This window comes from Homo sapiens, chromosome 7 (genome assembly GCF_000001405.40).
Source record: "Homo sapiens chromosome 7, GRCh38.p14 Primary Assembly".
Classification (NCBI taxonomy): Eukaryota; Metazoa; Chordata; class Mammalia; order Primates; family Hominidae; genus Homo; species Homo sapiens.
Genome location: NC_000007.14, coordinates 102,321,727 through 102,333,398, shown reverse-complemented (window position 1 = coordinate 102,333,398; position 11,672 = coordinate 102,321,727). Strand labels below are relative to the sequence as shown.

Below are 11,672 nucleotides of genomic sequence, written 5' to 3'. Positions count from 1 at the left end.
AAGAAGGGGCTAGATTTCTTTTTATACCGTGGTCTAAATAGGGGAGGGGGAGTTTAGCTGAAACAATTTTTACAGAAGCAGAACAGGGAAAAATTAAAAAGATTAATTGGTTACATAAATAGTTACAGAAAAATAAACAGTTCCAGGTGCAGGGGCTCAAACTACCACAAAGAGATAAATGCAGGGTCTTTTGGTATCATCCACCGAGCGAGTCCCCAAGAGCTGCTGGTTCAGCTTGCCTCGATACCTTATCAGTAAGTGCATTCCTAGACGTGCATGGAGTCAGCTTAGACTAGTTATGCCTTTAAGGGAGGGGGCTGCAAGTGAAGGAACTAAAATGGAGCCTGTCTGGCTCTCTCAGCTAAGAGAGACAATCACGTTAAAATAAGGTAGGGTATCACAATATAGGTAAGCATACAGCGTATATTTAATATGTCTGGCTTTTTTTTTCCATGTAGAGATGGGGTCTCACCACATCTCTACATAAAAGGTGGTTAACGAGATCCAAGGTGGTCTCCATCTCGTGGCCTCAAGTGATCTTGTAACCCCAGCCCCCCAAAGTGCTGGGATTACAAACATGAGCCACTGGTGCCCAGCCCTGGCTTCTTTTTTGTAGACATTATTTTAGAAGTCATTTTATTGTAACAACAGAAGTATTCATTTTCTCTGTAGTATGCTGTTCTATTTCATGACTCTCCACCATATATTTATCCCTCCTTCTTGCTCAGGGACACTGGATTGTTTTCCATTTTAACCTGCTATGAACAATTCTGCAGGGAATATTCTTTTTTTTTGTTTTTTTTGGAGACAGAGTCTCGCTCTGTTGCCCAGGTTGGAGTGCAGTGGCGTGATCTCGGCTCACTGCAACCTCCACCTCCTGGGTTCACGCCATTCTCCTGCCTCAGCCTCCAGAGTAGCTGGGACTACAGGTACCCGCCACCACGCCTGGCTAACTTTTTGTGTTTTTAGTAGAGACGGGGTTTCACTGTGTTAGCCAGGATGGTCTCTATCTCCTAACCTCATGATCCGCCCACCTCGGCCTCCCAAAGTGCTGGAATTACAGGCGTGAGCCACCGCGCCCGGTCTCTGCAGTGAATATTCTTACACAGAGGAGCAGGCATGGGGTATGTACTAATGAATGGGACTGCTGGCTCAGTGGTCCACCTGGCTTTCCACCCTACTAAATTGTTTTCCAAAGTTGTTATACTGGTTTATGCGCTCTCTCACTGCTCACCAGCAGGGTAGAATTCCTGATGTTTGCATCCTGCCTAAAGCTGGTGGGTGTAGCGTGGTATCCTAGGGTAGTTTTAGTTTGGATTTCTCCAGACTTCTCTAAGTTGAGGACCTTTTCATATTCACTGGCCGCTGTGATTGCTCTTTCGTAATGTACCTGCTCAAGTCTTTCACTCTTTTCTCATTGCAAACGTACATCCTAGGTTTCCAGCAGGAGCAACAGGCCTGTCGATTCTGACACAAGATGGGTGAATCGGTAACTTTTCTGGTTTGTTTTCCCACTGCTCATTATCCTTCTGTTTTCTTTAATGGCTTTCTGCCTAGATCAGGAGGGATGGACTTTCTTTTGAAACCCAGTAACACAACTGTTATTTCAGTACAGAGCTAAGACAGGAATAGCAGACATGGTTCAATGGTCCCTGCACCTAGAGAGTGCCGTGGAAACAGGGCCCAGTCACCCTCCAACTGCACTGCACAGTCCCATGAAACCAGAAAGACAACCCAGGTTGGAGAATGTCACCTTTCATTTAAGACCAAGTTTTGCAGGGTCTTTTTAATTTGTTTTTAAGTCTGCTACCTAACTTCCTTTGGGCTTTTATTTGTGAACTTATAACTTAGAGGACACGTAATCTCACTCTTCTAGCAATTTCTCTAGGAGATGATAACAATGTGGACAGACAAATAATTAGCAATAAAACATCTTGGCCAGGCATGGTGGCTCACATCTGTAATCCCAGCACTTTGGGAGACCAAGGCAGGAGGACCACTTGAACCTAGGAGTTCAAAACCAATCTGGGCAACATGGTGAAACCCCATCTTTACAAAAAGTACAAAACTTAGCCAGGTGTTGTAGCACGTGCCTGTAGTCCCAGCTATTCAGGAGGCTGAGGTGGTAGAATCACTTGAGCCCAGGAGGTCAGGGCTGCATTGAGCTGTGATCGTGCCACTGCACTCCAGCATGGGCAACAGAGTGAAACCCTGTCTCAAAAAAAAAAAAAAAAAACAAAAAAAAAGCAATCAAGCATCTCCAGGGTAAATGAGAGCAACATGAAGAATAAGCTGCTTATAAATACTTATAAGTTAAATTGATAAAAACAATATACCACATCATAATCTAGTCTCAGCAAGGAAAACAACAGGCCAACATTAGAAGGCACCAATGACATAAAACAGATCTTGAACATTTTGGTATTAGATCATGAAGGACTAGCTCAAGCTGCACTCAGGGCTTAAGAATCACAAGCCACGTTACACATACAGTACTTCAGACATTCTTCATTCCTGACTGAGTTTTTTTGAGACGGAGTCTCACTCTGTCGTCCAGGCTGCAGTGCAGTGTCATGATCTCGGCTCACTGCAGCTGCCGTCTCCCAGGTTCAAGCAATTCTCCTGCCTCAGCCTCCCCAGTAGCTGGTATTACAGGTGCCCACCACCACGGCCAGCAATTTTTTGTATTTTTAGTAGAGAAGGGGTTTCACCATGTTGGCCAGGCTGGTCTCAAACTCCTGACCTCAAGTGATCTGCCTGCCTTGGCCTCCCAAAGTGCCAAGATTACAGGCATGAGCCACTGCACCTGGCCCTTACTGAGCTTTGAATCCAGTAGATGCATTTTTGGCCCTATTGGAGCAGACAACCTACTGCCATTTGTGGAAATTAGCAAGCTTGTACACAAGCAATGTACAAATACAGGCTGGTTAAGAGAGATTGGAAATATGACTCAGGACTTATCATTAAGTAACAGAATATTACACAGGTAGTAGCCTTCCCTGTCACACACCTTGCTTTCAAATTTATTTTCAGTCAGCACGTAATTTTTTTTTTTTTTTGAGATGGAGTCATCCTTTCACATCCATCAGTAGAGATGGAGTTTCATCGTGTTGTCCTCTCGAACTCCTGACCTCAAGTGATCCACCTGCCTTGCCCTTCCAAAGTGCTGGGATTACAGATGTGAGCCACCATGCCCGGCCAGCACCCAATAATTTAATTGGCATACTTAACTCTGCTCCACCCGGAACAGACTTAAGACTTCTTAGACTTCTAAAGATTTTTTAAAGTCTTCTTTTTCCTTTTGGTTTCTTTAGTTTGTAGTTAAGGCTTTGCAGACTTGCCTCCTATAATGTCTCCTTTTATTTTTTATTTTTTAATTTTTATTTTTTGAGACAGAGTCTCACTCTGTCACCCTGGCTGGAGTACAGTGGTGCGATCATAGCTCACTGCAGCTTTGAACTCCTGGACTCAAGCAGTCCTCCCACCTTAGCCTCCTGAATAGCTGAATACAGGCACGTGCTACCACACCTGGCTAATTAGTATTATTTTTTTTGTAGAAATGGGATCTTGCTGTATTGCCCGGGCTGGTCTTGAACTCCTGGGTCAAGCCATCCTCCTGCCCTGGCCTCCCAAAGTGCTGGGATTATAGGCATGAGCCACGGTGCCCAGCCTTTGTCTTAGTTTTTGGTCCCCCTCACCTGACCCCACAGTTCTAGAACCATTCCCTTGCAAAGAAAGGGACTGCTCACGGCTGGGGATGGAGAAGTGCTGTGGTAGGAGCCCTTTCTTCTCTTTCTTCCCCAGCTGGATTGCCAAACCTACCCTGCGGTCCTCGTCTTCCTGGCCCCATAGCTCCTCCTCGCCAAGCATGTCTTCCCCACTGCAGAGAGCTGCGGGAGGTACCAAGAGGGCCTTGTCTGCATCTTCTAGTTCCTCTGCCAGTCTACCCTTCGATGACAGGGACTCAAACCATCCCTCAGAGGGTAAGTAGATGTTGCATTGTGCGGCCACTTCCTGTGTCCGTGGCAGCCTTCCCCCTCTCGTTTTCCCACATTGATGATAATATGCGTGGGACTGTGTGAATACACCAGAAGTGCTGTACTCGTTCAGCACAGTGACACCCTCCCTCCAGCTCCAGGTGTTTTTTTTGGGGGGTCCTAGATGTTGTAGACATCAAAATAGTAGTACATCCTGTTTTTTGTTTGTTTGTTTGTTTGTATGAGATGGAGTCTCGCCCTGTCGCCCAGGCTGGAGTGCAGTGGTGTGATCTTGGCTCACTGCAACCTCCGCCTTCCGGGTTCAAGCACATCCTGTTTTTAATCCATCATCCATCGTGTCTAAACCTCTCTTAAACACATTTCTGTGTTCAGCATGTACAACCCCTGGTGGGGGCTGGGAGGTGGCAGATGGGTGAGTAAAGAGTTCTTTACTTGTTGCCTGGTAAATTGTATAAACTTTTTATCTGGTGTCCCCTAGTTCTTCTGCTTGGGGATTTTGTAAACAGGTCTGTGTATCCTTATTTATTACCACATATGAGTTTATTCTGTATAGTTTATAATAATATATCTTGGTTTTTTAACTTTCCGGAAGGAAAAAAGCTAATGTCATACAGATCTGCTTTGTCCCCTGGCTGTTTTAATTGGCTTTCTCTGAATCATTTCTATTTCTGTCAGTGCTGCTGTGGTGTACCCGATTATATCAATGTTATAAACTTGAATTGATAAGACGTGGTTGATGTTTCACGGGGTGAAATTTAACTCTAGGTCCATATTACTCTCCCGTTTATGGATGAATGATGGATGACTTCCTGGGCCATGATTATTTTTCTCTACAAAGAGCAGTGATCTCTCTACCCGCTAAGTGAGTAGCATTTGATTCTCTTCTTCGGAGAGAATACTGGGAAGGGTTGTCCTTCCCCTCCTCATTTCCTCATTCTTCGTCTCCATTGCTTTCATGTGAAAGTTTTCCTTTAAGACTTTGTCCTGGCCGGGTGTGGTGGCTTACGCCTGTAATCCCAACACTTTGGGAGGCCAAGGCAGGTGGATCACCTGAGGTCAGGAGTTTGAGACCAGCCTGGCCAACATGGTGAAACACCTGTAATCCCAGCTACTCGGGAGACTGAGGCAGGAGAATCACTTGAACCTGGGAGGCAGAGGTTGTAGTGAGCCGAGATCACACCATTGCACTCCAGCCTGGGTGACGAGAGTGAAACTCTGTCTCAAAAAAAAAAAAAAGACTTTATCCCAACTTCCTACTAACAATAAGCTCATTTTTTCTTAAAATCTGAATATGTTTTTCTCATGGAGATGGGGTGCAGTGAGAGACAGAGAAACTAATTCATTAGCCTTTTATATGGAGGGAATTAGGGTGGTTATATTTAAAGAGAACGGTACTTTCTCACAGGAATACTGACTCTTTATTAGCTGATGAAGGCAGTGACTTTGAAGATAGCTTCAATCGCAATGTGAAGAAGAAAGCAGCAAAACGACCACCGAAAACAACACCGGTGAGTCAGCCAGTTTTCTTTTGTTTTTGAATCTTGTGGGGGAAGCAGCCCAGCTACTCGGGAGGCTGAGGCAGGAGAATGGCGTGAACCCCAGGGGCAGAGCTGGCAGTGAGCCGAGATTGCGCCACTGCACTCCAGCCTGGGTGACAGAGCGAGACTCTGCCTCAAAAAAAAAAAAAAAGAAAAAAACTTAAAAGAGGTTCAGGTGATATGGTTCAAAAAAGGACAAGATTTACAAAGTATTAAGGGACGGAAATAGGAAGAGGAGAAATTTTGAAGAGAAAAGAAGAGAAAAGGACGTTAGGATATAGAGATATAGGAAGGGGACTCAAGGACTTTTTTTTTTTAAGGGAAAAAAGTTAAACTTCATAACAGTATAAAAATCAATTATTTCAGGACTGAGTCTAACTCAGACTGTGCTGTGGAATGGGCAGCGTAAGCCTACTTGTGTGATAATGATGAGACCAAGTGTTAATGTCACTGTTACCTTTTTTTCATATTTCTGATCTTTTTATACATATTAGGTGGCAAACAACGAAAGAAAGGGTCCCGAGTGGTACATCGTCATAGCCGGAAACAGTCAGAGCCACCAGCCAATGATCTTTTCAATGCTGTGAAAGCTGCCAAAAGTGACATGCAGGTAAAGCCGTGTCTCACCTCTGTTGATACCATCTCACTTTTTGTAAGGTGGTAAGGACAAGTGTCTACAAACTTGATTTGATGTGAACATTTCAGTGAATGTAACATATCAAGAAAGATAAGATTATGGGGTGAATCCTTGGAGTAATAGAAGGGTAACCTTGAATGAGAGAGCATTTTTTTTTTTTTTGAGACAGAGTGGTGCAACTGACCTCCCAGGCTCCGGTGATACTCCCACCTCAGACTCCCAGGTGGCTGGGACTACAGGTGCATGCCATCGTGCCTGGCTAATTTTTTTGGTATTTTTTTGCAGAGAAGACAAGGTTGTGCCATGTTGCCCAGGCTGGTCTCGACCTCCTGGGCTCAAACAATCCTCCCGCCTCAGCCTCCCAAAGTGCTGGGATTATAGGTGTGAGCCACCGTGCCCGGCTGTTTTCTGTATTTTTTGCAGAGTAGGGTGTGTCTCGTTCTGTTGCCCAGGCTGTTCTTGAACTCCTGGCCTCAAGCGATCCTCCTACCTCAGTCTTCCGAAGTGCTGGCTTACAGATGTGAGCCATTGAGCTTATTCAAATAAGGGATCTTTTCACAGCGCGTCTAGTTTGTTACAGAACCCCAAAGTATCATTCATGCTCATCATTGACTGAAATTACAGTAGTTATGAGGGCTGCTATTAAAGCTTGCTATTTAAAGTGTTAATAAAGAAGCATGTATATTACCACATCACCAGTTTAAAAAATATTTTGATTACTTTTTAATTGTATTTAGTATTTTGACTGAATTTCAGGGTAATTGGTTTTCCTTGCAAGTCTATGTATTTAATTCTGTGCACTTTAAACATTATGCTAAGCAGGCTATAATAGTCTTCCCCAGACTGTCAGGGGCCTGAGGCACAAAAGAGATTAGAAATCCCTGGCTTAGGGCCTTTTAGGGGGAAGGGTGGGCACTGCAGAAAACTTTCTACCTAGCCAAATGCATGTTTTGGCCAAATACATGTTTTTTTCTTATTAAAGGATTTTGAGGCCGGGTGCGGTGGCTCATGCCTGTAACTGCAGCTTTTTGGGAGGCCGAGGTGGGTGGATCACCTGAGGTCAGGAGTTCAAGACCAGTCTGGCCAACATGGCGAAACCCAGTCTCTACTAAAAATACAAAAGTTAGCTGGGCGTGGTAGTGGGCACCTGTAGTCCCAGCTACTCGGGAGGCTGAGGCATGAGAATTGCTTGAACCCGGGAGGCAGAGGTTGCAGTGAGCCAAGATCCCACCACTACACTCCAGCCTGAGTGACAGAGCAAGACTCTGTCTCAGAAAAAAAAAAAAAAAAAAAGGCTTTTGGACCGAGGCAGGAGGATCACTTGAGGATAGGAGTTCAAGGCCAGCCTGAGAAACATAGTGAGACTCCTGGTCTCTACAATAAAATTAAAAATTAGCAGGGTGTGGTGACACCCACCTGTAGTCCCAGCTACTTGGGAGGCTGAGGTGGGAGGATCATTTGAGCCCAGGAGATTGAGGCTGCAGTGACCTGTGATTGCCCCACTGCACTCCAGCCTGGGCAACAGATCAAGATGCTCTTTAAAATAAATAAGAAATAAATATAGGATTTGGGGACAATGAATGAGATTCATTACTCAACATTCACATTAGTGTATCGCTTTGCTTTTTTTTTTTCTTTTTGAGACAGGGTCTCACTCTGTTGCCCAGGCTGGAGTGCAGTGGAGCAATCTTGGCTCACTGCAACCTCCACCTCCCCAGTTCAAGTGATTCTCCTGCCTCAGCCTCCTGAGTAGGTGGAATTACAGGTGCCGCCACCACGCTGGGCTAATTTTTGTATTTTTAGTGGAGATGGCGTTTTACCATATTGGCCAGGCTGGTCTCGAACTCCTGACCTCAAGTGATCTGCCTGCCTCGGCCTCCCAAAGTGTTGAGATTACAGGCATGAGTCACCGCGCCTGGCTGCTTTGCTGTCTCTTAATACTAGGGATGTAAGAGCCCCTCGCCATCGCAGGAAGTTTATTTCTTCTACCCCAAATGGGCTAGAACTTTTCTAAGTTAGAAGTGCCCAATAGGGTCTAAGGTGATCTCAGGGAGGACAAAAAACCCTTCCCCGGAGCAGGAAGGCAGAAGCTCGATTGATGTTGATTTTCAGTAGGAAGACAGACCATGAAAGCACGGTCACACCATGCCCCCTAAAAAAAAAAAAAGAAAAATATAACAGAAACGCCCACCAGAAGGAACTGATTTTTATTGTACTGTATTTGATTTTGTTTTGTACGCCAGTTCTATTTATTTATTTATGTATTTATTTAGAGACAAGTCTCTCTTTGTGTCCCAGGCTAGAGTGCAGTGGCATGATCTCGGCTCACTGCAACCTCCACCTCCTGGGTTCAAGCCATTCTCTTGCCTCAGCCTTCCGGGTAGCTGGGATTACAGGCACGTGCCACCACACTCGGCTAATTTTTGTATTTTCAATAGAGACGGGGTTTCGCCATGTTGGCCAGACTGGTCTTGAACTCCTGACTTCAAGTGATCCACCCGCCTTGGCCTCCCAAAGTGTTGGGATTACAGGCGTGAGCCACCACACCCGGTTGTGATCTTTCTTCCGTCACTGTCCTCCTGCTCTGCTGCCCTGCCCTGGCCCCTTGCCCCTCACCCAGACCCACCACAGCCTCCCTGGCCCCCCGCCTCATTTTGCCGCCTTCAATCCATCCTTGCCCCAACCCTCTGGCCACAGGGTGATCTCAGCTCCCATTTTAATTGGCACTGGCTCTCAGCACCTTCCAAACTCCCTGGCCTGGCATTCAAGGCTCTCTCTACCTTGCAGGTCTCATATCCCACCTCGCTGCTCCTGCGCCTGCAGTCCCCCATGTCTGCGACACCCAGTGTCACAGGTCAGCCAGGGCACTTGTGGTCCCAAAGCTTGGCTCAGCTACCCCATGGGCCTGGCCTGGCGCAGAGCAGGCATCTGAAATGCTTGTTGAGGAACAAATGAAACCCCCTTGAAAATGTTGCTGCCGTCTGTGCAATGGCTGTGATTTCGCCAGAGCCACTGAGTCTGGGCTATCTGGAACCACCCTCTTGAGTGACAGGCTTGAGGATCTCACGCTGGTGACCATACTGAAGAGAGAGCCCCCTTTTCACTGACCTCCTGGGCCTTCCTGCTGCATCCCTTGGGAGAGCCCGGGGGGGGGCAGTCACCGTATCAACTTCTGCTGTCCCCCCCCGAATTCACTTTAACCTGGGAACACCCCAGGAACAGCGCCTGCCCCCTTAGGATTGGCACAGACCCTCTCCCACAGTCTTATACTCTATGTGTGTGCATATGTGCATGAGCCCCCCATTGAGCAAAGGTGACAGTCAATCAGTGCTTTTGCCTGCTTCTGTGCTGATTCTGTTTTGAGCATTCGGCATGGAGAGTGGCCTCTGCTGTGGCTGACGACATCAGGAGGAAAGGACAGGAGGGCCTGAAGGCTTGCACACTCTGTGTCCAAGTCTTTTTTTTTTTTTTTGAAATGGAGTCTCCCTCTGTTACCCAGGCTGGAGTGCAGTGGCGCGATCTTGGCTCACTGCAACCTCCACCTCCCGGGTTCAAGCGATCCTCCCACCTCAGCCTCCCAAGTAGCTGGGACTATAGGCACGCACCACCACGCCTGGCTAGTTTTTTTTTTTTTTTTGTATTTTTGGTAGAGGAGGGGTTTCACCATGTTGGCCAGGCTGGTCTCGAACTCCTGACCTTAGATGATTTGCCCGCCTTGGCCCCCCAAAGTGCTGGGATTACAAGCGTGAACCACTGCCCCCACCTGGTGGGTCTAAGTCTTAAGTCTGCCCCTGTTCGTCTGCCCAGCCCAAGCCTCAGTCCAGAGCCCGCTCTGTTCTTGTTGGAGTGGAATGGGGACTTGCACTTGGCCTAGCATAGACCCCAAACCACCAGGGCACGGGGGCAGAAGGACTCCAGCCACAACCGAATGAAGGTGCTAGAAGCAGAGGTAGCAGGGTGCTCTCCTGATCGCTGAATTTGTATTCTTCCCTCATCATGGTGGTAGCAGGGGGCCCTACTCTGTCACTTCCTGATGATGTTGTGCATGGGGACTGGGTGGCTGAAAGCCCTGGGAGCCACCCAAGGGTGTTCATGCCCCTTTTATGGGGAAGAGGCTGTGTCTTAGTTACAGTCCTGAGAGCTTTAGATGTCTAGGGATCTGAAATCTGCATCATTGGCCAGGTGCAGTGGCTCATGCCTATAATCACAGCCCTTTGGGAGGCTGAGGTGGGTGGATCGCCTCCCACCCAGGATTACTCGGGAGTTCGAGACCTGCCTAGCCAACATGGTGAAACCCTGTCTCTACCAAAAAAAATTAGCTAGGCGTGGTGGTGCACGCCTGTAGTCTCAGATACTTGGGAGGCTGAGGTGGGAGGATAGTTGGAGCCCGGGAAGTTGAGACTGCAAGTGAGCCAAGATTGTGCCACTGCACCTGTCTCAAAAAAGAAAAAGAAAGAAAAGGAAAGAAAGAGAGAAAGAGAAGAGAAAGAGAAGAGAGGAAGGAAGGAAGGAAGGAAGGAAGGAAGGAAGGAAGGAAGGGGAAAGAAAGAAAAATAGATGGATGCATCATTGACCCAAGCCCTGCAAGGCCAGTCTTGGGCAAGGGGACTGTGGGTCTGTGACCCCAGGTCTGGGGTGTTGTGGGGAAGGCAGAGGTTTGGCTTAGTAGGAACAGGATCTTTCTTGAACACTGCCTGGGGACTGGGGTCCTGGGACTGCCAGCAAGCAGTGTCTCCAGAGCCTGGGGTCATGGGAGTCACAGCTGGAATTCCACTTGTGGGTAGGTGTGGGGTGGGAATGAGACGGGGTGGGGGCTGGGTGTGAATGAGGTGGAGCGCGGTGGGTGGGAGGGCTCTTTAAGCTTCTTCCAAGTTTAAGTCTACCACCGAGCTGGGAAATCCAGCCTCTTCCATTGCCCAATCCCCTAAGGGCTAATATGGAGACATCCTGCCCTGCCGCCCTGTCCACACCGCCAGGCTTCTTCCTGCCCTGCCGCCCTGTCCACACCGCCAGGCTTCTTCCTGCCCTGCCGCCCTGTCCACACCGCCAGGCTTCTTCCTGCCCTGCCGCCCTGTCCACACCGCCAGGCTTCATAGATCTGTCTAAAAACGCCTTTACCCTCCCAGTCCGGGCCTCGACTCCTCCTCCTGGCATCCAAGCTCTCCGTATGACTTGGGCGTGCTCCCCATCCCTCACTGTGTCCTGAATGCCCCCTCCTCTCTTTTCAGCACCCCTCATTGTTACCACCTCCCATCTCTCTCCCTCACAGCTCCAGTAAAGCCCCCTCCCGATCCTAAGCCCTAACCCTTGCTGTTGGGCCCTCTTTCAGGTGCTGCCCGACGCCCCATGGGGAGTCCCTCAGCTGTCCCACCAGAGACAGAGCTGCAAGGGGGCCTGGCAGGTGTCAGGCCACACTGGGCTGGACGGGGGTCCCTGATGGACGGGTGTCTCTGAGAGTGGCTGCCCCGCAGTCCCCGCCTTCCCCGTGGGAGAAAGGAC

General features: G+C 48.1%; 1 long non-coding RNA gene across 2 annotated transcripts, besides 1 other annotated feature; it reads left to right on the top strand.

The window, feature by feature from the left end:
- Positions 1-4,769: 4,769 nt before the first annotated feature.
- LOC107986717 (uncharacterized) lies at positions 4,770-6,354 on the top strand. Of its 2 annotated transcripts, none has more exons than XR_001744970.3 (3): positions 4,770-4,860; positions 5,424-5,506; positions 6,031-6,354. It is a non-coding gene; the product is annotated as an uncharacterized LOC107986717 (long non-coding RNA). The 2 variants fall into 2 exon arrangements; XR_001744968.3 differs by having other exon boundaries at positions 5,404-5,506.
- Positions 10,692-11,440: an enhancer, noted in NCBI's record as "H3K4me1 hESC enhancer chr7:101962426-101963137 (GRCh37/hg19 assembly coordinates)". NCBI's record gives its function as "activates a minimal SCP1, AML or CMV promoter by ChIP-STARR-seq in primed H9 embryonic stem cells {active_cell/tissue: H9 hESC(primed)}" and the evidence as "EXISTENCE:reporter gene assay evidence [ECO:0000049][PMID:30033119]".